This window comes from Homo sapiens, chromosome 3 (genome assembly GCF_000001405.40).
Source record: "Homo sapiens chromosome 3, GRCh38.p14 Primary Assembly".
NCBI lineage: Eukaryota > Metazoa > Chordata > Mammalia > Primates > Hominidae > Homo > Homo sapiens.
This window is the reverse complement of record NC_000003.12, coordinates 121,404,462-121,431,306: the sequence shown is the minus strand read 5'-3', so window position 1 is coordinate 121,431,306 and position 26,845 is coordinate 121,404,462. Positions and strand designations below refer to the sequence as shown.

At 36.2% G+C, this 26,845-nt stretch overlaps 1 protein-coding gene across 9 annotated transcripts in view; it reads right to left on the bottom strand.

Moving 5' to 3' along the window:
• STXBP5L (syntaxin binding protein 5L) overlaps nucleotides 6,546-26,845 on the bottom strand; it is a 516,557-nt gene continuing 496,257 nt past the window's right edge. For all 9 annotated transcript variants that reach the window (NR_145516.2, NM_014980.3, NM_001308330.2 and 6 more), the window contains 5 exons: nucleotides 23,704-24,064; nucleotides 17,984-18,149; nucleotides 15,339-15,450; nucleotides 12,750-12,970; nucleotides 6,546-12,251 (listed from right to left, as the gene is read on the bottom strand). Coding sequence is in view for 8 of the 9 variants with exons in the window: in NM_014980.3 (NP_055795.1) it covers nucleotides 12,210-12,251; nucleotides 12,750-12,970; nucleotides 15,339-15,450; nucleotides 17,984-18,149; nucleotides 23,704-24,064 (902 nt within the window). In the remaining variant the exon portion in view is untranslated. The remainder of the gene's footprint in view (nucleotides 12,252-12,749; nucleotides 12,971-15,338; nucleotides 15,451-17,983; nucleotides 18,150-23,703; nucleotides 24,065-26,845) is intronic.

Sequence of the window (26,845 nt, the reverse complement as noted above, 5' to 3'; positions counted from 1 at the left end):
TTTTATGTTTATTAATCAGAATAATGAAAAAAGATAGTTGCTTTATAAAATGTAATGCATTATCAGTAGTTGGGTATTAATGCATAAGAGACTTAGACATAGTTTTTTTGGGGTGGCAGGGTGAGAAAGGCAGAGATGGCAGCAGTAAGAGGGAAGAATATCATTATTTCTTTTTCCATATTTACCTGTACTATGTTTCTCAGAAGCTGAAGTGCTGTCAGTATTCTGGTAGGCTTGAAAGATCTGGCACAAGAGAAAGCTCAATCTGTTTACCTGTGAGTGTTCTTCAAACATGAGGGCAAGCAAAAGTCCCTTCTGCCTCATTCTCTGCAGCCATGGCCCAGCATGTGTAGTCACATGCATTTTCTCATTCTGTTTGACCTGTCAGCTGGACCTGAAACAGGCCATCCCCATTTTGCATGATTCAGATGTGCACAAATCCCAGTTACTATGGTTTACTTAATAACATGAGTCTCCCCTGCAACACAATTCAAATTTCAGTTACCAGTGGATATTAACTGTGAGTAACTGCATGAAATTCAAACTTCACTGATAGTTCTTCAAACCACAACCACTGTGTAAATAAGAAATGCACATTGTGTTATGCAGAATAATGCCCCCCACCCCAAAGTTCACATCCTAATTCCTAAAATCTGTGAACTATTATATTACATGGCAAAAGGGACCTTGTTGATGTGATTAAGTTAGAGATCTTGAGGTGGGGGATTATCCTGGATTATCTGAATGGTTCCATTGTAATCACCAGGGTCTTTATAAGAGGGAAGCAGATGGTCAGAGTCAGGGAAGATGTGACAACAGAAACAGAGAAAGATTTGAAGATGCTACACTGCTGGCTTTAAAGTTGGAAGAAGGGGCCATGAGCCAAGGAATGCAGGAACCCTCAAAAAATTGGAAAAGGTAAGGAAATGGATTCTCTCCTAGAACCTTTTGAAGGGATGTAGCCCCGCCAACACCTTGACTCTAGCCCAGTTAAGACCATTTTGGACCTCTGTCCTTTAGAACTGCAAGACAATTATTTGAATTGTTTTGAGCTAGTAAGTTTGTGGAATTGGTAGCAGTAACAGGATATTCATACATGCATCATGATGAGGACCAGTTACATCACTTCTTCCAAAGGCTGTCTGTGATTGGCTACTTCACATCTGTTATTCACTTTACTTGCAGATGGCAAAATGTAGTTGTGTTGATTGCTTGTCTCCCAGTGGTAAATCCACATTATACAAAAATGGATAATCAAAAGTAGAAGTTGGCTAATAAAGATCAAAGTGTACCAGAGAAGTAAAAAATAACACTGGAAGTGAAATTCAAATTGAACATAAATGGAATTACAGAAGAACTACCTGCCTGGGAATGCTGACACTACTGCTGTTTGAGATACAGTAGATAGGCAACCTGAGAAACAGTAAAGGCACAATTTACATAAATGAGGAAAATGGTTGTGACAAAAGGATAAAGATGTCCCAGAGGAAGCGATGCCAACAAAAAACTTCATTAATTTTTAATCTATAACTTTAATTCCATCAAAGTCTCATCAGGATTTTATATTTTTTAGATAGATAGTATCTTAAAACTCACCTGAAGAAAAACCAGTACCTGGCCGGGCGTGGTGGCTCACGCCTGTAATCCCAGCACGTTGGGAGGCCGAGGCAGGTGCATCACGAGGTCAAGAGATCGAGACTATCCTGGCCAACATGGCAAAACCCCCTCTCTACTAAAAATACAAAAAATTAGCCGGGTGTGGTGGCGGGTGCCTGTAATCTCAGCTACTTGGGAGGCTGAGGCAGGAGAATCACTTGAAACCAGGAGGTGGAGGTTGAAGTGAGCCGAGATTGCGCCATTGCACTCCAGCCTGGACAAAAAGAGCAAAACTCTGTCTCTCACACACACACACACACACACACAAAATACCAGTACCTATCAAACTTGAGAAATAACAAAGATTTGTATCAGATATTAGGATGTATTACAAAGACATAATAGTTTCAAATTATATATAGGGGATAGAAATAGGTAAGAGTATTAAAACAGACTAAAGAATTTAAGAAACAGACTTATATGAGAAATGATTAAAATGTCATTTCAAATTAGTGGTGAAAGATGGGCTGTTCATAAACGCGATGTAGTGATAAGAGTATCCATTGGTAAAAATATCAAGTTGGATCTCTATCTCAAATGCTCACAAAATACTCCAGATGGATTAAAAGCCTAAATATTTAAAAGAAGACTATGAAAGTAAATTAAAAAAATATGAGAATGTTTATGACTTTATAGAAATAAAAGCCTGCTTTAAAACAAAGTTCTAAAATCATAAAGGTAAAAGATAAAACTTGACTACATTATAAAGAAAAATTTTCAGTATAAAAGGGACATCAATAAAGTTAAATCATGAAAGACACTGAACTGTCTAACCCAGGGGCCATGGCACAACAGCAAATCCAAAGCAGATCCATAGCCTAAGTAAGGCTGAGTTAGCAAGCGAGTACCATATGGTGCTAACCCCAAGTGAGAGCAAACCACACATTCATCAGTTGTACTTCAGCACATATCAGTGGAAGGTGCTCAAGGGTCACAACAGACCAGCCACTGTTACAGAGTCCCAGAGGATCCAAGGAGGAAGACAAGGACCAGCACCCCTCCTTCCTTATCATGAGTTAATATAAGCCTTCCCCTAAACCCAGAAGCCAATCTTGTAAGGAGGAAGAGGGAGAGACTACAGAATTCCTAGGAAGACTCAAAGGCAAGGAAAACTCAGTCATAGAAAATAAGCTACATTTTAAAAATCAACAATAGACAAATGATCTGTAGTAGAGTCTGACTCCATCTTTTGATGTTTGCTGACAAGTTTTGAGCCTCTATTCTCCCACTTCCTCTTCTGTCCACATCTGAGTAAGCTGAGAAGAAATCCAATGCTCCCTTCTTTGGTGCCAGTGGGATTTTCAAACCCTGCAAGCCCCATGCTGCAACCCCTGGCCCACCTTCTGACCACAATAAAAACCCAGTCTCTTCCTTGTTCTCTCAAGTTGCCTTGCTCTCTGCAGAAAGCCTCACTGAGTAATAAACCTTTTCGTATCAGAAAAATTCCAATTAAAACAATAAGATGCCATTTTCATCTTTCACAGTGTGAAAAAATAAAAATATTTGAAAATAGGTGAAGATGAGACTAATTTTTATACACTGGTAGAAGAATAATTTAGTCAACATCTATTTAAATTGTTTAAATGAGCATGCCCTTTAATTCAGCAATTCCACTTGACATTAACATCTTCCTTAGAGAAAACACTTGCATGTATGCAAAATACATGTGCAGATGTTCACTGCAGTCTTGTTTGTAATATCAAGAGATTGGAAAATATCTAAATACTAGTTAAGAGTGGTAGCAAGTTATGGTTTATTGACACCATGGGATAATATAAGTGAGTTAAAAAGAATGAATTATAGGTACTGACAAAGAACGATCTGAGACATAGTAGAGACATGAATAAGCACGTTGCAGCATAGAAAAATTTTTTAGAAGGAAACACAGCAAACTATAACTCGTTAGTTTAGATGAGTAGGAGGTAACCAAGGGAAATACTCACTTGATCTTGTCTAAATTTATCATATGACTATTACAATATGCATTTATGTATTATTTGTGCAGTTAAAATACATTTTAAAAAATGTTTAAATAATGGTTGGATTCCCAAATCAGCTCACGAGACTATTGTTGAAGCTGCAAAGCCGCTGTCCATTTGCTATGAAAGGTAGAAGACAATGCCATTGAAGTGCAAGTAATACAACAAGATTGGAAATATTTTATTTTTATAACTTTATTTTGGAATAACTTAAAACCTAGGTAAAAGTTTGAAGAATACTACCAAGAATCCCAATCAAGTCGGAAATCACCATTCAAGTTTTGTTAATTTCTCCAGTTATGTCATTTATAGCAAAAGGGTCCAATCCAAGACTAAGAGTTGCACCTAGTTGTCATGACTGTCTAGTCTCCTTAAATCCAGAACATACATCCTTCCTTGACTTTTATGACACTGAAAATTTTTAATAGAGGGCAGATATTTTATAGAATGTCACTCAATTTGGTTTTGTTTATTGCCTCATGATTAGACCTTGATTCTGCCTTTTTGGCAGGAATATTGCAGAGGTGATACTGGGTTCTCACTCACTGCATCCTGTCAGGTGGCGCATGATGTTGATTTGTTCCCTTGCTGGTGGTGGTAACTGATCACTTGATTAAGATGGTGTCTGCCATGTTTCTCTAGTTACAGTTTTCTTTATGATTAGCAAATGTTTTTTTGTGAAGATACTTTGACTATGGAAATGTCCTCTTCCTCTGTCCCACTTTACCTCACTAGTTTTAGCATCCACTGGTATTTGTTGCCCAAGTCGTTATGATAATGGTTGCTAAATGGTAATTTCAAAATTCCATCTACATTTATTTATTTGTTGACATTCTATTGTAAGAAAGAGTTTTTGCTTTCTCCTTTTATTTATATTAATGTGGACTAGTGTGTACTTATTAAGTTACTGTTATGACTTTTGATGCTTTTTCCTTTTTCTTTTCATTATTATTATTATTTTTTTTTTTGGGTAGAGACAGGGTCTTGTTATGTTACCCAGGCTGGTCTCGAATTTTTGGTCTCAAGCAATCCTCCCACCTTGGCCTCCCAAAGGGCTGGGATTACAGGCATGAGCCACTGCACTTGGCCTTGATGCTCAAATTATACCTGATTTGTCCTAAGCTAGCTTGTCCTTAAGCTTGTCCTAAGCTAGCATGTCCTTAAGCTAGCTGCTGTTTCCTTTTGACATGTCCCTATTCTTTGAATACTTTATTTTCTGACACAAAAATGTTCCTTAAAATCAGACATTTCTTCATAGAGCTCCAGTTCCTTTTAGCAGAGAATAGTAATTGGAAATCAATATCCAGGCACTAGTTGTGCTCATTGCTCCAGGGTGTGAGGGGCTTGCTCCCTGTCCTCTTGGTGTGCAGAATTAGGAAATATATATGTACCACACAGGCACGTGTGCACACACACACCTTTATATCACATATGTATGTAAACTATGTAGCGATACCCATATATATTTGTATACATTATTTATACACACTTTATATATATGTAAAAATTTATACTTATACTTCCTATTCTAATCTAATACCACAGGGTTTATTCTAGCTTTCCCTTTTAATTTTTCCTTTCTTTGTTCTCCATCAGGGAGAAACCTGGCTCCCATAGTATCAATGTACTTGTTAATTGCTCAGTACCCTGTAGGTAGCCAACCTCCTGACCCCACCGGGCTGCCTTCTGCCCTGCTCCAGTGCCAACATCACACGCCATCACTGACCACTGAAGGGTTGACCCTGCCACTTCCCTCCAGTGCTGTCTCCTGTGGGCTGCCCTTCTCACCCTACTCCAATGCAGTCTTTGTATGGGGATGCCATCACCAACCTTTTTGAGTGTGGCTGACTTTTGGAATGAATGAATGAATGAAAGGAAAGAAAGGAGGAAGGAAGGGAGGAGAGGAAAGGGCAGCAGGGAACAGAGGGAGGGAGGGGGTGAGGAAGAAACAGAAAGGAAGGGAAGAAGGAAGAAAGGAAGTCGAATCAGTATTTCAAATATTGAATGCAAGTATCTGAAGCTTGAGTTATTGTAATTCAAAAATAAGAAGGTAAATGGATCCCTTTGAAGAAATTCTGCTAGAGAAAAATTCTGAAAAGGAATTTGTATTTTAAAGGGTCAGTATGCATATTTGTATTTTTAATCAACAAGTTTTTTAGCCTAGAGTTGGTTGGCTGTTTTTTCCAATTTTTATATGGAACTAAAATTAGGAGAAAAATTATGGCGGTGGGGAAATTTTCCTGAGATTAAATTAGACAGGATTTGGAAGAATAAAGTCAGTTGTTTATGGCCAGAGTATAGATAAATATGGGGAAAGTGCCTGGAGAGGAATTAACTATGCTTATGAAAGCCAGAGGCGCAGGAGAGCACACTCTCCAGAGAACTGTTGGAGGTCTTGAGTTAATGAATGTTTATCATAACTACTAGGAGCTGGAATAAGCCCATAGTAGCTTAATTTTTCTGCCTGGATGAGGACAAAGCCTGAGCTGAAAAGAAGTGAGGAAGTAAGGTCTGCATGTTGAGTTTGTAGGTACATCTTACCCACCTTGGTTTCGTTTGATGCATTATTAACAAATTATTTTTGCTTGTACTTCACTGAAGGTGGACTTCAATCAACATCGTCAAAAGTTGTCTTTAAAGTCTTCCAACAAAAAGTAACACATCTCCTCAAATTGATGGAGATTTTGAATGGCTATTGGGTTAATAAATTCTAGTACAATGTGTGAGTTTTGGGAAGTTGTATTTGATAGATTTGCTGTACATTGCTCTCCCACCCCCTCCCTGCTTTTTGAAAACAATTAACACTTTGCAAAACCATAGTTCATACTGTTATAAATGGGTCTTACCTCTGTCCATATGTAATCTTGGAAAAAATCATTAGTGCATGACATCATGACATAAGAGAGCATCTATGTACAAACATATACAATTTTATTGATATCTCTACAGACTACAAGAATTTTGTTAAGTATAGTCACAATTGCTGAGTGCAACAGAAAAATAGTAATTTGTCATTTTCTGAAAAGATGCAAAAATTCTGAAGATGAAAGAAAGATACATCAATGATGTCATCTGTTTCTTATTTCCTAGAATAAAACATCACATAATTAAGTACTAAAAATTATAGGTTATTAGAGATTCTGTTCCTGTGTACAATTGTCCAAAACCACCATCTAGTTTATTTTCTGGCTTTGCAGTCAAGAAGGGTGGGCCAACAGCAGAGGGAAAGCAGTATGAAAGGCAATAACTCTGAGTTTCTTCTCATTATGTGTTACTGCCTTTGATAGGCTGGACTCTCCTTTTTTGAAGGTGTAAGCACCCTTTCAGGGCACTGGATGTCATATAGGAAGTTACAGGTATTCTTTTCCTTTAAACACATGTCCAAAGACTAAGAAAATAAATCCAAGTGGCCCTGGGAGCTTTTGATTGAGATAACAATCAAAAAGGAAGATTTGTTCTTCCTTTTTGCTAAGACCAAGTCCAGTGAAATATACCTACAGCAGAACAGGTACCTGGTACCCATGTCTCCTCCAGAAGAAGAATGAATAATAAATTTGGACCTAATTTAGCAAATGATTGTTTTGAGAATTTCCACTGTCTAAATATGAAGAATTAGTTTTCCACTTAGCTTTATATGCTCTTGAATTTACTGTGCTACTTCTGGTATCTTGTGATGTCACATGTGTAAGACAATTGAAAAAAAACCTAGACCTTTGAATTGGAATAATTGATGGACAAGTCACATAGGAGAATATCACAAAGATGATTATTAAGAGTTGATGGAGCACTGCCTGGTCAGAAATTCTCAAATGCTTTTGTTCTGTGAGACATACAGAATAAATACCATTACTATATCTTACATCTTGCCTTCCCTGACCACTCAGAACTGGGGCTGGAGCACCAGCCAAGGCAGACAAACAAGGTTTCCTTAGTTGGCCATAAAGCAGTGATAATCAACTTTGGCTGGACATTAGAACCGCCTTGGAGGCTTTCGCAAATATTGGTGTCTGGTTCCCACTCCAAATGATTTTAATATAATTGGGAATTTAAAAATTTCCTGAGGTGATTCTTATGTACAGTCAAGGTTGAGAATCACTCCTCTAGATAAATGTGTAAATCAAAGCATCCATCTGTGCATCTGATTCCTTAAAGCCTCTTTCACTTCACTGTGGCTCCCATGTCCTTCCTCACCACGATCTTCTTGCACCAAATTGGTACTTCCTCCTCCTTTTCTAAGACAGACCTTACCTATTCTACATTTCATGCTTTCAGGGCTATGTTGTCTGCAAATACACACACTAAACTTGTTATGTTGACAACCATGTTCCCTGGAATGGTGCATACTAGAGGTACTGCTCAAACCAAGTACACCACAAGTATTTCTGGCACCCAGGACAGTGTGCATGTGAAATAGTACCTAGCCAAAAATGGAGTTGCATGACAGAGGACAGAGGTGAAGAAGCTGTGAAAGCCACCACGTTTCTCCTGACACAGATACCAAGACCTGATATGAATGTTTTGACTTCTTTTGCATTGCCCTGTGTGAGCCAACATGGTCAAGTTACAATTCTTTTTTCTCATAGCAGCAGGTTGTAATCACACAGATATACTCCCAGTTTGACCCAATGATCCTAAGCCAAGGAGAGGATTTTTAGCTTACTTTTCTAGATTGGCTTCATTTTTCCCTTCTGCTTGAATATAAGAATCTATTTTAATCTTCTTCAACCAATGTTAGGCCTAATCTGATTCTTTTTTCTCTCAAAGTCATGGTGATCCCTTCATGTAGATAAAGTATAGATGATGCCTTTAAAACTGGTACATGGGTCACATAAAAAGGGACTCCAACAGTAAACCTTTTCCTTCAGATCCCTAGAAACTTTGAGGGAAAGGAGTTGGATTTTGATTTATTTATTTGAGAATCACTTTCAAAAGATCTGAGAAAATTGTCTTTGTGACTGAATCACTGGAAAACATCTCATTCAGTTCTGTCACTGTCCTTTCAGAGTTCCAGTTAGACAATGATCTTGACAATGATTGGGGCCCTAAAGTCTGGGGCTCAGTGAAGTGTAAGAAGCAAAGTCAGTAGTACTGCTTTTGTAGGTGATTAAAACAAATGAGGAATCAATCATTCCTCCCTCCAAACTCCAAGACTAATGGATGATTTCAAGGTAGGGACTATTGCTCACGTTATTATCAGGGAAACAAATACCTCTAGCTTCTCACAGATGAATAAATGAAAAGGCCCATTTTCTACTGTAACACTAAAAAGGCCTTATCTTCCAAGGAAATCATAGGGAGACAAGGTCAACTTGTTGGGACTGTGGTTTGCAAGCCTTATCTTCTGATGTCGCTTTAGCAGATAGAATGTAATTTTGATGGTAACTAAGGCTCAGAGTCACTTTCTGTATCATTGTCCAAGTTATTAGGAGTATTTTTCTTATGTTCCGAAATAGAAGAAAGATAGTAAAGATGAGACTATGCAAAGGATTACATGGATCAACAGTACTTATTTTCCAAAGATGAGGATAAGATGATGATGGTAGTGGTGGCGATGGTGTGTGTGTGTGTGCGTGCGTGCTAAGGTCAGTGCAACAGAACAGAATTGTTCAAAGAGAAAAATCACATCCACATTAGATTCTTCTTATTGCTATCATCTCTTTGAATTATAAAAATAATTTTGATACAGTAAAACCTCATTAATTTGGATTCCACTAACCAGGAGTTTGTGAGATGAAGTTACCCTTACGTTAAGGAAGGGCTTATAAAAGCAATTTTGAAAGACACGTTTTAACTACTTCAAAGAGCCTTTTCTTTTCAAGCATTTGAGAAGCACCTGTTTACTTCCAATTGGTGTGCTAATTATAAACTTTTGATCTATTCACTGAGGCCAAGGTTTTAAGCACTTCTACAGTGAAATGCTATAATGTCCTTTTTGATATTTTCTCTGTGTGCCTTAAAATATTCTGTAGTTGTTATTTTTCACTGATTCCTATAAGCTTTCTTCAAAATTGTATCTTATTGCATATGAACCACACATGTAATTTTGGGTATAATAATTTATCTTGCTAAGACATTGTATACTTATTGTACAGTTTTATACAACAACATATATTACATATTCACACAATCTACCTCTTTGTATGATGTAGAATAGTGGCTGTGAACTGGGAGAAATTTTGGCAATGACTGGAGACATTTTGATTGTCATTACTAGGAGGTTCTTACTGGCATCTAGTAGACAGAGGCCAGGGATGTTGCTAACATCCTACAATACACAGGACAGTTCCCCACAACAAAGACTTTCAGCTAATAGTGCTGCTTTTGAGAAATCTCGATGTAGATCAAGTTAAAACAAGTTAAATCTTATTGAAGGCTTCAGAAATACTCATCAAATGTACTGCTACTTTGGACTGAATTTCATTATTTCTAAAATAAACTAATATTTTACTCTTTTAGTTTTTTTTAAAATACAGAAACGATAAAGTATTTGTTCTGAAAATCAGAAAACTAAGTCTTTGAAACAGATGGTACAAAGAATACATTGCAATTTGGCCACTAGTATTTTCTAGATCCTACTCTTAAGTTTCTTTAATATTTTTACCATATAATTTTATAATTCTATAAATTATACAGTCATGTAATGTCTGTGTTTCCAAGCCAGATTCTGTTACCGTAAGGCTGTTCACAGGAGTCTGGGAGATTCAGAGAGGCTTTCTTAACAAGAGGATTCAAGGACTCTGAGAAATGCTATCCTAGTGTACATTATCTAACTCTTTCACTCATCTTTGTTCTCCTCAAAATTACTGAGAACATTGTACCACTAGAAACATTTGCTAGAAAGTACAACTTCTAGCAAAAAATTAGACTAAAAAGGAAATAAAAATACGATTTTTTGGCTAATAAAATAACCTGAAATCCAGGAAAATTGTGAAGTCTTAAGAAACACAAATGTAAATCCAATGAGACCTTGATAAACAAAAATTCAATAAGCCAAAACCATAATTAAAACTTTTCTTGACGAAACAACATATTACAGGATGGGTCCTGGAATGTGTATATATACATTCCTATAACTTTTGACTTCCAGAATCATGTTAAATGGTAGTAGGTGTCTCTATTTGGTTTTGACTCTGGTGCTTTTCTGGTGAGTTATAGATACCTTGTATCATGTTAAGGATATTCTTTATTCCAGCTTTAAAAGAGTCTTTAATAAGGGACAAGTGTTTGGCATCTATTGACATAATCTAGTGGCTTATATTATTTGACCTAGGGACAAAAGCATTGATTTTGTATCATTAAACTCTTTATGTATTTCTATTGTCTATAATGATGACTGAGACCAAGATAGCAAACAGATCACTATATTTTATAAAGATTTCCAGTGGTAAGTATCGAACCAATTTCCAGTGGTAAGTATCAAACCGAAAGGTATTTTCTAAGGAAAGCCCTTGTAAATCAGAAATGTCATAAATCAGAATCCCTTTCCCAAAACATTAACTGAGATTTTACTGAATCACACTAAAGAGAATGACCAGTTTGGTTTGTGAATGTCAGGCTGCAAGAGCACCTTTCGATTGCAGACCCTACTGGGTTTGAACAGTAATATACTGTGTAACTGGCAGACAAGGATACAAATGAAGCTTTTAAAATATATCACTTTAGAAGCTGAAATTGGGGTGTGTGAAATTTCCCTTTTTGTGAAGTCAGTTCTCATAGCTAACTCTATTGTTCCTATAGATTCCCCACACCTACTACCAACTCCCCTATAGAGTACAAGCCAGGCTGAAGAAAATGCTTTGAGGTGACCCAACCCTGCATGGTTTGTGCTAAAAACAGCAACCCATTCTGAAGGTGATAGAAATGAAACTGATTGTGTTGGGAATAATTTACTATACTGGCAATATTTGATTTTGACACAACTGTGAATGATGTAAAACATGGAGAGAGAACATTAATCAGACTCTTGCCATAAGAATTCAATAAGGTTCTAGTACAATGAAAGTTACAGATGAGGAGAAAACTCTGGGTTCTTGTTTTGTTTTGTTTTCCGTTTCAGTTGGGTATGGCAAATATATTTGAAATGCACTGACATCTTCAAATGCAGATTTTTTAAATTGTTGAGTGTGGCCCAATTGATAGAAATAGTTTACCATGAATCTTTTTTTCTTCTATCACAACATGCTTTTTTTTCTTTTCCCCTTAAGATGTTAATTTATCATGCAAAGATTTTTTTTCATTAAGTGCATTAATGCTTTTGTTTGTACAGGAATTTTCAAATCAAGAGGACTCCCCGTAGTTACTAAATATAAATCCTTATCGAATGACATGCCAAGATGATAGCTCCATTCCACATGGGAAAAGGCAAATTCAGCCGTATTTTGGGATTTTAACCAGGGCTCCAGCCTTTGGGTTGCACAGTGTCTCTGATACATCTCTTTTATGAAAATTTCAGATTGACTGTAAATGGAACATTTTGTAGAAGAAACTGGCTTCTAGCAGTTGAGTAGTGATGCTGGGAATAAATTTGGTTTCCCTGAATATGGTTTCTCAAAGCAGTCACAGCTTCTTTAGAAGTCAGAATTGGTACCATTTCTTATCCTTGTATTTCAGCATTAACTGCAAAGAAAAAATAGCCACCATAAGACGCTAAAATACTTTAAAAGTGCTATTCAAAGCAAGGCCATTTTGAGCTAATCATGCAAATCTATCTCAAAACTTATAATCAAACTGAGTGGCTTCTTTTATTTTGTGAAATAAAGTGCATATGAGAAAGATTTTAAAAATAAACAAGCTGTAAAGACTCAGCTGATAGAAAATGATTTTTCATGACTGAGACAAAATGGAGGATGTGGATCCCAGATGTATCAGAACCAATGGATAATTTCTTTAATTATCCCCTAAGGTAAAGAAGTATCGATACATTAAAGTATTTTTTTAAAAAACCTTTTATCTCCCAAGCACTGGGAGAATTATAATACTTAGAAGAGATCTAGGTTACCATGATTCTCATACAGGATTACTTATGTGGATCTCTGTTTAAGCTTTCTTGTGCAGATCCTAAATGTTTAAAGTTACTCCTGTATGAAGATGTCTGTATTTACTTAGGCAGTTTACCTCATGTGCATGTTTGGAAAATGCTTCTGCACTGGTCATCATGCCTGCAGTTTTCTCTTCCAGCTCTCCTAGCCTCTGTCCTCTTTCATCAAGTGCAATCCGTGCACGGGTCAGCTCTCCCATCACCCCTCCAGCAGCGCCTTTCATCCCTTCTATACTACCTGGTCCAGGAATGTGTTGCGCAAGGCTGCGGGATGCTTTTCCTGCCGAAGCTTCCCCAACTGAGAATATATGCAATAGCAATTTAAAACATTTTGTCAGTAATTCAAACAGTCAAGCTTGTCACCAAGACAAAGTACTAGTATTACATTCTACTGTCATAATTCTCATTAAAAGAGAGTCTTATTTGGTCCAGTCATATATGTATTTGGAGATGTTAGCACTTAAGAAAAATGCTAAGAAAGAGACTGTGAGATATATTGTTATCATAGGCCTTTTGTATGTGTGTGTGTTCCATACAATATGGCATAATTGCATTTCTTGATGCTGAATTGGAATATTCAAATATGTGACTTCATATTTAACCCATATTAATGTTTGTTCCAAGCTTAGGCCTGATCATTTGCTTAAATTTCTGCCTGAGTTTTTATTTCAGCCTTCTTGGTTCACCTTCATGTATAAGCCTTTGTAGGCCACAGGTTCTCTTTCTCTCTCTTTCTGTCTCTCTCTCTCTCTGTAAATACTGAAAAATGGGGTATATGAATATATGAATGATGGTTATGTGTGTTAAAAAATTGATTTATAAAACAAACATAACATTTACCCATATAAGTTACATATGTTAAAAATTTGTGGCTGGGCACGGTGGCTCACGCCTGTAATCCCAACACTTTGGGAGGCTGAAGTGGGCAGATCACCTGAGGTCAGGAGTTCCAGACCAGCCTGGCCAACATGGTGAAACCCTGTCTCTACCAAAAGTACAAAATTAGCCGGGAGTGGTGACATGTGCCTGTAGTCCCAGCTACTCGGGAGGCTGAGGCACGAGAATCTCTTGAACCAGGGAGGTGAAGGTTGCAGTGGGCTATGATTGTGCCACTTTACTCTAAAGCCTGGGCAGCCAAGTGAGATTCTTTTTTTATTTTTATTTTTATTTTTAAGGAAAAAAAAACAGCTATTTTGGCAGAAATTTAGTTAGAATTCCCAAGGATGTAATATTGGAATGGATTCTAGATTTTTTTTAAAATAAGAGTGGATGGAATCTAATTTTTTTAAAATAATAGCCTTATTGAGATATAATTCACATAACATTTATCCATTTAAAGTGCAAAATTCACTTGTTTTTAGTGTATTCACAAAGTTGTACGACCATCACCACTATCTGATTGCAGAACATACACATAACTCCAAAAAGAAACTCCATGCTCATTGGCAGTCTCTCCCTGTTCCTTCTGTGCCTCAGCCCCTGGCAATCATTAATCTACTTTCAGTCTTTCTGAATTTGCCCATTCTAGACCTTTTATATAAATGGAATCATACAATATGTGGCCTTTTTTTTGTCTGGCTTCTTTCACTTAGCAAGATGTTTTCAAGGTTTATCCATGTTGTACCATGTATCAGTACGTCATTCCTTTTCATGGCCAAATAATATTCTATTGTATGAAGGAACCTAGATGTTTTTGCATAAAAGTTCCAGAGAAAGAGAATTTTGATCTATAGGACCAAATGATGGTAGGATATTCTGGAAAATATATTCATACCTTCTCTCTGAAAATTTTCCCTAGTATCTTCCTATTATTTAAAAATCTACCAGTGAGGCTGGGTGTGGTGGCTCATGCCTGTAATTCCAGCACTTTGGGAGGGTGAGGTGGGCAGATCACCTGAGGTCAGGAGTCCAAGACCAACCTAGCCAACATAGCAAAACCTCGTCTCTACTAAAAATGCAAAAATTAGCCAGGCATGGTGGGCGCCTATAATCCCAGCTACTTGGGAGGCTGAGGCAGGAGAATCGCTTGAACCCGGGAGGCAGAGGTTTCAGTGAGCCTAGATCAGGCCACTGCACTCCAGCCTGGGCAACAGAGCAAGACTCTGTCTCAAATAAATAAATAAATAATAAATAAATAAATAAATAAATAAATAAATAAATAAAAATCTACCAGTGAGACTTTGATAAACAATAATACTTTTTGATTTTGTTTATCAAAGTCTCACTGGTAGATTTTTAAAGTAATTTATTCTGTAGGATTTATAAATCTTACATTCTGAATAAGGAATCTGTTTTCCAGCAGTGATTAAAGTCAAGCAGATTCAAAAATCTTTTTTCCAGACTTTTTTGAATACCTTCACATTGCCATGCAGGTATGATCTACTTGCAAATGAGATATTTATTAGCTTGCTCATTATTTGTATGAATTATATGTATCACTTTTGTTAAACAATTTCCTAATATGAAGTGACCACTTTCCATGTTGGTAAATGGAAATGATTTTTATGGTACAGAAGGAAACAAATATTCAAACTTTAAGATAGATGCAAAAAATACGTAGTCTAGAATTTGAGATCACATATTACATTAAGTTACACACACAAATACACATACACAGAAACGTCTTCTATTTTGCAATACATTTCTATAATCAGGAATTTACTCACAGAGCTCTTCTCTGTCAAATGTTTGTCCGCTTCCACCAAACAGTCCCTTGAGAAAGCCTCTGTTTTGAGCTTCTGGTGTCTCTATGGGAGTAAACAAATCTCCTAGCATGTCCTGCATCAAATTCACAGAAAAAAGCATTAGAACAACTAAAAAATCAATTAATATACAAAAAGGTAACACTGTGATATAGTAGGACACATCATGAAAAAACAGTCTGCTTTTCATATATTTTCATGGTGATTTTTGCTGTGCTCACAGTTCTCCCTCTGGCATTTCTTTTGTTCCTCCCCTTCTATAGTAACAAACATTCTAAAATTTTCCTTTATCCTCTTCTCTTCTTCCTTCCATCAAAGCATGGGAAGCTAATATAGCTACCCTAGGATTAATTTCCATCTGTGCTCAATAATTACCACTAGACTTCTGATCCTTTTTCAGTCACTATAGCTTCTTTTTTATCCTGGTACCCTTCCCTGAACCAAGCATAGACTGCCCTATGAAATAGGACAGCTTTGGTGGTATGTGGAAGGTTGGATCTATTTTTGTAGGAGTACAAAACTATAAAATGATTAAAGATAATTTAAACGAGTCAAAATAGGCAGCTACTGTATAGGGTGAAGTACATTTGTTTTCAATATTTGGTGAGCTTTACAATGACTAGAGAAATGCTTGTTAGAAATGCAGATATCCAGGCTGCATTCCACATATATGAAATCAGACTCTACATAGATGTACTCTCGTTATCTACATTTTTACCAGACCTTGCTCCCCAGCTTTTTCTAAAGCAGACCAAAGTTGAAGAACCATCAGTGTGGAGAAAGGAACTTAGACTGAGTCAGGAGATCTGTGACCTAATATTGGTTTCCTATGAACTTCCAGTATGATTTTAATTGCATCATCTCCCTTTACCTCTACTGAGACCTGTGCTCTTCCTCCTGAAGCCCTTCTCTTTGGAAATGGCAACATCATCTATTTGGTTCCCCAAGCCAGAAACCGAGAAATGACTAATTCCTTCCTTTCCACTCCTATTATCTAATAACCCTAAATCCAGTTGATTACACTTTATGGCTATTGAATCTGCTAACTTTTCTCCATCCTTATGCTTCCTGAAAACCAACTGCCATACTATAACCAGAATATTTATTTTAATAAACAAATCTGCTAAAACTTTTTAATGACCACTGCCCTTGGGATAAATGCTATAATAGATTCCTTAGGTAGCTTACAAGGGGCTGCAAGATCTACTCGACTAATTCTCCAGCACAACACCTCCACTCCCAATTCTGCACTTTTTTGGCAGTTTCCTTAGCCGTGAGGCTTTTGCATGCCACTACTTCTGTCTAAAGTATCTTACCTTTTTCATGCCCAACCATTCAGTCAACTGGATAACTCCTGTTTACCATTTGGAAGTCAGTTGTGCCCATAATCCTTCTCTAACTTCTTTTGATTAAGGGACACACAAAATAAATATATATCCAGTGGGTTAGAATTGGGCATTTGTCTCTGATTGTAGCAGTAGGCATAGACTAGAAACAGGATAGCTGTAAAAGTTTAACCTTAAGTGAGGGTGGTCACAAAATTTTTAAAAAGCATGTTAGAGAGTCAACGGGTTAAACCACCTCCCTTCTGCTCCATCAACCCAGGTGTCCTTCTTATATGTCTCCCCAGTACTGGCACAGCCATATATAGCACTTTCCACAGAGTAGTGTGATTGTGTTTACTTCTGTCTCTCCACACTAGCAGGCAGGGACTTGTATCTTATTTATTAGCATGTTCCTAGAGTCTAGCCAAGTATTAGGCATATAGAAAAAAACTCAATAATTATCTGTAGAATGACAATGGTGATGATAGTAATATTTATTATTATTTATTTAAAAAAACATACTATATTCCAGGCACTGAGCTCAGTCTTTTATATGAATTCTTACTAAATTCTGACAACAATGCTCCAAAGTAGAGTGTACAGATAGGTTAAGTAAAATGCCCAAAGTCACAGAAATGGAGGAGCCAAAATACAACTCGAATAGTTCAGAGCTTATGCTCTTAACCCCTGTATTATAATAAATATGTTTTAGTTTTCTTATTTGTAAAATGAGGGGGGTTAAATAGTTAAATGTCCAAGATGCTTTTAAAAAATGTTGTGACCATTCTTACAGAAGGTTAGACATTTATATCTATCCTGTTTCTAGGCTATGCTTACTGCTACAATAAAAGACAAATGCTCAATTCTAACCCACAGGATATATGTTTATTTTGTGTGTCCCTTAATCACAAGGTTTCTTCAAGAGTTCTTGAACTCCTTGAATGGTATAGAAATTTTTGTGTTTACATACATATTTTCCACCCTGAGGGGAGAGTTTATAATCTTTTATAAGATTCTCCATAGGCAAAAACAATAAAATAAACAAAAAGATTAGCTATTAATATGAATGATCTTTCCATTGTCTCCCTCTTTCTTATTATTTCTGTGCAATACCTAGAACCATACTAGAAGTTGGTAGGCTCAAAATGAAGAATATATATTCAAAACATGTTATTGGAAGGGCATAATTATTGTCTGACCTAATAATATTTTTGTTTTTAGACATCTTTCTCATTCTCTCAACCATGTCCAATGTCTTTTTCATAAATGTAACTCCTGACCTACCTGTAGATTATCACACATTTCTTGGCTGTATGTTAACCGCTGAATTTCAGTAGGAGAGACGAGGTATAATGCCTGTCCTTCATTGGTAAAACAAAATGTTCGTGCTATCCTCATGTCTGTCAGTGGCAAATAATTAACATCCAACATTGGGCGAAGACTAGGTAGGCTGAATGGAAAAAAGTAAATCCATATATCATATGCAGGTTGTTAGAAGCAGATATTTACATAAAAACAGTAATTTTTATTCTATTATTTTATGGTTGTTTCTTTTTATTTTTTTATTTTTATATTTTTTTGAGACAGAGTCTTGCTCTGTCACCCAAGCTGGAGTGCAGTGGAGTTAGCTCACTGCAATCTTGCCTTCCAGGTTCAAGTGATTCTCACGCCTCAGCCTCCTGAGTAGCTGGAACTACAGGTGTGAGCCACCACACCTGGCTAATTTTTGTATTTTTAGTAGAGACAGGGTTTTGCCATGTTGGCCAGGCTTGAGCCACCATACTCGGCCTGGTTGTTTCTTCTTATCTTCAAGGCTCAGTGGTAATAAACTAGACTTTCTTTTTTTCTTTTTCTTTTGTTTTTTTTTTTTTTTTTTTTTTGGAGGGAGAAACAACTTTATTTTCATCAGAAATAGTAATGTTTACAAATTTGTTTATAGTAGTTTGTAAACTATTATCAGAAATACTAATGTCAATAAACCACTTAAACTTTAAGAGATAATTGGGAACTATGATGAGGGTGATAATAAAAGGAGAAATCTTACAAAAATTAACCTGGATGTTATGCTTGCTCTAAGACTAAGTCACTAGGGAAACAGATTCAGTATTATCCAATGGCTTAACCTTCCTTCCTTCCTTTTGTTCCCTTTTTGGTGGTGGCTGGGTTACAAAGAGTAGTGTCTTCTGCCCTGAAGGTAGCAGTAGTATGGTGGGTGCCTAGAGGTCAATTATTGGTTTAGAAGAGATTCAGGCTCTTAACTTCTACATGTGCTTCCCAGGAGGGGGAACACTTTCTTTCTCAGCCCTGTGTGAGGACCTTGTTAGCCCAGAAAGTGTTCTCAGACCACTGGGTGCCCATTCTCAGTGTTAGAAACAGGAAGACCCTGGTTTCCTGGCAGAAATGGATCCTACAGTTTTCTCTCCATCAAACTTTAAGTCACAGTAAGACAGGACTCTGGAGTCACAGGCACAGCCAGGAGAGGTCAGCATCCTTATGCTGACTCCTGTTCCTGGACATGGGTCTTAAGATCCAATAAACTAGACTTTCATATAAAATCATAAAAATCACAGGCACAGTTCTTTTAATTCACATAGATGCTTAGCAAATGTTCTTGATGGATTAAATGCAGTGGCCAGCAATTTCAGGGGCACTTTTTGTAGCACTTCACATGTTCCTACAATGACAGCCTTTGGCTATGTCAGAAACACCACAGCTAGAAAGTGTCTGACTGCATACTTGGTCTATTGTCTTTCTTTAAGGCAAAACTGACAGAGATGTGTTGTGGGTCCAGTTCACTGTGCCTGGAAATGAAGTGGTTTTGCTCCCCATTCCTTTACTCACTCTATACACAGGAAATGAAAATTACCCATAACTTAGGGCAACTGCACTGGAGGCATGACTAATAAGTAAATATGGCCAAGACTGTAAGGGAATGAGAATAAGTTATAAATAATAGATCAGAATTTGCACATCCAAATGAATACCATCTGAATTGTCTTACCCCATGGCTATATGCTTATCCTAATGTAGCAGATAATTTTGCTAAAATATTCATCAGAATGTCCTTTTGGATACTGTTTTTCGAGCCAGTTTTACAAACCACTGAAGAAAACCAGTCTCATTGCCTTTTAATCAGTCCTTTAATGCCAAAAGGGAAAAGGTAAACTTGTAATTAAATTTTGAAACCATTATACTGATTCTAAGTGTGCACAATGATTTTACATTGTCCTAGATCATAAAACCAGCACCTTGAAAAAAATACTGATTTCCTTTATCAAAGTGGTTTGTAACTATACTTTGAGACCTGGAAATTTACTATGTAAAATGGGACCTGAAATCTGTGCTATTGGACTAAGCACTGTGCTGTCCAATATGGTAGCCAGTAACCACATGTAGCTATTGAGCAGTTGATACGTGGCTCGTCTGAATTGAGATGTGCTGTAAACGTAAATTACACACTGGATTCAAAAGCTTCATTGATGAAAGAATTACCTAATATCTTAAAAAGATATTAAAAGATGATCTGTTATAGCACTTCTGGTAACTAAGCTCCTTAAGATATGAGTCCAAACCAATCCCAGTTAAACAGATTTCCATGACAGATTCAGTCAAATTAAAGGGTGGAGTTGAGGAAGAGGTTCCAACTGACTTTTCTGATGTGCTACATTGTCTATATTGTATAATAACAAGTAAGCCAAGAAAAGAAAATTAAAGAGGTGTAGTCACTTCAGGTAGGAAAAGAGAAAGAGCAAGTCAGTTGCTAACTGCTAGGAAACAATTGCTCTTATAACAGAAGAAAAAAAGACTTTCTTCTATGCAGGACACTTTAATAAAGAAATAGTGTCGGGTAACTAAAGGTGGATCTCACAAAAAGTGTCTCTTACAGCCAAGTTTGAGAATTCATACAAAGATAAGCCTCTTCTATTTCTCCTCTCTACTCTCAAACTTGCTTTTCTGAGTCTGGGTACTTAGGATCTAAGTAACCACTGGCTAGCTACCTGATATCTATCAGAAACCCAGGACTTGAGAAGACTGGGCTCAGGAGAGTTACCTTCTGATAGGGTCTGGAAAGATCCTGGGAATATACTCAGTATGGGAAAATGAATGAGGCCAGGTGCATGCTAATTTGTAGGATTCATTTCTTTAAACCATAGAGCAGAGTACATACCATTGTTTCCTAGCTACACTTTATGTATATGTATTATTAAAATCATATCAAAATTATTTCCTTTTCAGTTATTTTTGAGGATCCTCAGGAACACATGAAGAATTTCTACTATGACACAATATCAAAGTAACCATTATCATGTCAAGCAGCTTTTATAAAGGACAGAGGAAGACAGATACCATTTATCAATGACTCAATGTATGTGTGTGAGAGATACACACATTTACACACATACACAAATAGACCTTTTTTCCCCCCCAAATCTGAGGCATGTATGGGAGTTAAATCATTTTCAAACAAGATTGAAATGACCTTATCAGAAATTTCTAAAAACAGTTTGAGAAAGGGGGAACTAGATAGAAAAGAATCAGAAATACATGAGAGAATGAACAGACCATAAAATGATTATTTTTATTCAAAATTTTCTCCTTTACTACTTTCCCTTGACCTACAAATCTGCTCATATTTTCCCTATCTAAAAAAAAAAACACTCTCAAAACCTAGTTTCACTCTTAAGCGACTTTCCTGTCTCATCTCTCTTTTAACCACAAAATTTCCTGAAAGAATAATCAATACCAGGGGAAAAGGGCCCATAAATATTTATGATAGTAAATATTTTAGGCTCTCTAGGCTATATAGTCTCTGTTGCAACTATTCAACTCTGCCCTGTAGTGCAAAAGCAGCCATAGTCAATATACAGAAACATGGGTGTGGCTGTGTTCCAAAACCTTTATTTATGGGCATTGACATTTAAAATTAGTATAATTTTCACATATCATGAAATATTCTTCTCTTTGAGTTTTTTCAACCATTAAATATGTAAAAACCATTCTTAATGCTTGCAGGCTGTACAAAATCAGATAGGGGAATGGAGGTCGATTTTGTTTTGGATATTAATTTGCTAAACCCTGATCTATACCACTGCCTCTATTCTTGTCTCCTTGAAAATTAGCTTTTGTTTCCACCATGCTGCTAAGATTTGCTTTCTCAAAGATCATTAATATCCCACCAGTTGTGAGATCTACTGTTTTTTTCTTGTACCCAAATTCTTTGACCTCTCTGCTATATTTTACTACCTCTTGACAACCTCTTTTGTTTTAATATTCTTCTCTTTTTATTTAATGAAGTTATACAATTCTGGTCCTTTCCTATCTTTCTAATAACTTCTCAATCTCCTTTGCTGCATCTTATTCTTTCTTTCACTACATAAACGTAGAATACCCCCAAGTTTCTATCCTCAGCTCAGTCAATTTCTTGTTTCTTTTTATGCTATCTTTTTTATTATCTCATTTCCTGACATAACTTTTACTGATGCATTTACATAGATGACTTCCAAAGCTGGACCTTCCACATATATTTTTCTAAGAGTGCAAATCTTAAATTTATTGCTAAACCTCTGCTGGATGGCTTATAACACCTAAAATTTCAAATATTTATTCTCAATTTATTATTAAATTTCTCTTTATTGGCTTTTTCAAATCCTTCTGACTTTCCTATATGCTAATAACATAACCGTTATCTAAGTTCAAAAAAATTTTTAACCTTTAAACTCTCTTCTAACCTCGAGATTTAACAACTTCCATTACTGTTCATAACCAATCAGCTTTGCATTCAATAAGTTTCCCTTACACCTGTTTCCTCGTTGCCTTCAATACAGACACCACTTCAGTTCAAAAGCCTATCTCAACTTCTCCCTCCCTGTGTATGTCCTAACACATGGCTAGAGAAGGTTAATTACCTGCTTAAAACCCCATTTCCTATTAATTGATAAATGTCAAACTCAGCCTGACATTCAAGGTCGTCAACAATTTGCTTCAAACTACCTCTCCATGTTACTGTCCTCCCAACAACTCTTCATTTATAATACATGTTCAACTATGCTGTGACTTTGAACTCTGGGAACTTAGTTTGTGGCTAGAAAATTCAATCCCATATTTCCTCTGTTGGAATTTATATTTTCTTTTTGTTATAATGTCTGTGTATCTATCTTATCTCCCAAGTTAGACAGTGAGTTTCTTAAGGGTTAGGACCATGTTCTACTAATTTTTATATCCTTCACAGGCCTAGCACAGTGCTCATCTCAATGATTTTTGGAAATAAGTGAGATATTAAAAAAATGACAGTGACTTCTATATAGTATACGTTTATGAGCTATTTGCTGAATTCATAAAATCATTAGGTAATTATTTTTGTGTCTCGTAAATTTTATTTCATTTCACTAACAGTAGAATGAAATCTCTTGACCAATATTTTATTTTAAAAGTATCTGATAACTTTTAATTATCAGACTGGCCTCACTTTTCCTAGACTTGCAACCTCAGGCAAACTGTGTAACTTTATTAACACATGTAAAATGGAGGATGCAAATAATAGTTTATTTTCCTATGTCCTAGAGAAGTTCTAAGGATCAAATGAAACTCTGTATGTAAATTTCTTGGGTGAAGTATCAAACACAGGAAAAGTAAAAGTTAACTTCTTTTCTATTTAGCTTATTCATCTTTTATTTCCAGTGCTTAGTGTAGCATCTGGGAGATATGCTCAATAAATATTTGTTGAATGATTGAAAAATCATTCTTTTCTTAGATTCCTTCAAAACAATTAAAAATATATTTCACTCACAATGCCAAGCATTTTTAGCAGAAAAGAAAAACCAAAACAAAACACAAAACCCCCAAACTCTCATCAAATCGTTGAACAATAAAACATCCAGAAACATAATGAAACAATAATCTCAGTTTGCTTCTTGATAACATCTGCACATAACACATATATTTTTTAGGATTGTACCTTGCTGGTATTGTTGTGATTACCAGATAATTTATAAGAAGGCAAGTACCTCATTATCATGATATGTCCGTTAGCACAAAAGCATGCCAAGCAGGCACTGCTACACATGACCACCACATTTGCTTGCAGTATAAAAGATGTCTCCGTGATGTTATGAACATAAAGGCAAGTCTGAGAAGGCAGTGAGAAGACTTTGGCTTGTTTTTCTGAGCAGATTATTGTATACTGATGATCTCCTATTTCTTGGGATGCAGAAGATGAGTTCATTACCACTTTCCTTCTCCAAGATTTTTCATTTTCATCTATGTTGTTTGGATCCCTCCAAACTTCATATGGCGGTTGCATTAATCCACCCATTCGGTCCATACAGGAGAATGTTAGCACAGCTCCTTTCAATGAGAGGAATGTACCTATAAAAACAATTGGACATCACTGACATGTCAAATTCATTCTAAAGCATCTATAGGGAATTAAAGTTTTACATTGTGATAATTTATACCTATAGAGTCATAATATTGCCCTAATGTATATGAATTTGTAGATTTGTGAGCTCATCTGTTATAATAAGTTGGAATCATAGAATGTTAGGTCTAAAAGGAACTTAAGACGTCAACTGGTCAAACCCTCTCATTATATTAAAAAAGAAGAAAAAACAGACCCAGAAAGATTATGAAAGTTGGGCCAGGTCACACAGCAAGTTAGGTCACAGCCTAGATTAGAACTCAGATTTTTCTGATTCCTACCCCACGATTCTTTCATTATACTATATAGTCCCCCTTAAAGTCCTTTTATAAAAAAGAAAATTTTAAAAATGTACATATTTTATTTATTGAAATAACTTCAACTGAAAAATAATCACACAATCTTATTTGATTTTCTTATTTCATAGACTAATTTGCTAGAAAATGCTTGATTTTTCTTCAAAATCAAACAAGAAGAAATTTCAATATCTGGAATTCACGGTGGCAATTTTAATTGTATGAAAAAGACAAAACAATTACCTTCAGCTCTTAGGTAGGCTTTTGCATCTTTACACAGAAAGGGGTTTTACTCACCTGGATTCTCCAAGGTTGACAATGTATGCCAGATTATTGCCTATAGGTGATTTTCACCAGTCTTGGAGGACAATATACTATAAAGCTTAGGAGGTAGTTTGGGCTCTATTGATCTTTGGATATTTCCAGAATCTTCCCTAAGCAGTACCCTATTAGCCCTTTCTTTCCTTTGTCCTTTTACATCATGCAGAGAAAGTATGTTAGCTTAGACTGATAATGTCTCAAGGGTGTACATGTGACAGAGACTTGAAAAGGGAAGGGTGACAGATAAAAGTATATTCATTTAGAAAGTACTTACAAAGTCCTTAAAATTTATCAAATTGAAAAGAGTATATTGGGATGATCTAATATCTTAGTTGTGTTTTTAAATCCACTTCAAAACTAAGAAATCTATAAATGTATATAAGGGTAACGGCAGAGGCTAGGGGAGTAGAGGTTTAGGTGCTGCAGTTTAAGGGTTAAGGGATAAAAGAACATCTCTCCCAATCTCCCATGAAGGAAAAATGCCAACAGCTCTGAAGAATGATTTAATTAAAATTAACCTAGGATTGATCCTGCTGTTCAGTAAAACCACATTTTCCTAACTACCTGCCATAGAAAGACTTTTCTAAGTATATCTTTTCATCCTTGATTTAGAGATGGCTGACAGTAGGTTAAAAAGACAAGAAATCCACATTTTGAAAGCCATTTTACTTATACTCATTGCATACAATCTTCAGCATCAAAATGAATTTCTCAATAAGCTGCCCTTGCCAAAACAGCTGCTTTGTTTCTTAATTTTTAGTCATAAATGCTTTGATTATATTCTGTTCATTAGGTTTATACAGGGTTTAAGTTTTCCAAACAATGTATTATTAATCGTTTAGAATTCTTTCTTTAATCTTTTCCAACTGGAAAAAACTCAAGTAAATCTAAATCATAAGCAGCTACTACTTCAGAAATACACTTACAAAGTATGCTTAAACTTATGGGCTTCAATAATAAGATCTTAATTAATTAGGACTTTCCTCTTAAAGAAGAACTCACTGGCTAGGAGTGTACTTTACTCCAGCTTTCCCAAATCACCAGCCTTGCCGACTACAACCTTCATTCAATCAATACATACAGTATCAAGTACATTCTATGTGCTCTAGGCTCTATTTTAGTCATAGTCAATATAGTGGTGAATAAAACAGACAAAAGTCCCTGCCTTCATAAAACTTACTTTCTAGGGTAGAGATAGATAATATGTCTGATAAATAAGTAATCATATGGGATATTAGATAGTAATGAGTACTAAGGAAAAAAAGCAGAAAAGAAGATAGGAATTCTTGAAAAAAGGTAGATAAATTTTAAATAGTGTTATAGACTGAATGTTTGCATCCCCTGCCAACCTCTTGTAAAAAAAATCATATGTTAAAGCCCCAACCCCCACTATGGATCTATTTGAAGAGGGAGCCTTTAAGGAAATAATTAAGATTAAATGAGATCATAAGGGTATGGCTCTAATCTGATAGAATTAGTGTCCTTTTAAAAAGAGATACCAGAGTACATGCTCTCTCTCTCTCTCCCCCTCCCTATGTGTACACAAAGGAAAGGCCATGTGAGCACACAGCAAGAAGGCAGCCATCTGCAACCCAAAGGAAGAGACCTCACTAGACATCTGCCCTGCTGGCACCTTGAACTTAGAGTTTCAGTCTCCAGAACTGTGAGAAAATAAATTTCTGCTGTTTAAGCCACTGAGTCTGTGGTATTTCATTATGGCAGCCTGAGCAAACTAATAAAGAAGGGAAGGCTTCTTTTCATCATCCTGTGGGAATTAGGGTTCAGGAAACCAGCACAAAATACTGATATTCTATGACTGTTGTGAATAATAAATTATCCTTTGTCCCTGAGCCAGGAGTTTCATGTCTTCTATCAGCATCGAAACTGGCAACCTAACTTTATTAGCTTACAAGTAGAATAAAATCTCAGATTCTTTATAGGTCTTGACTTTCTAGAATGCCAAGAAGATTCATAGGAGGTAAGATCAGAGAGATAAAGTAGAGCCACATCATGTTGGTTCTTTCAGGACATGGTAAAGACCTAGACTTTTACTTGGCGTGAGATGGAAGGATTTTGAGAATGGAAGTGATGTAATCTAACTTTCATGTAACA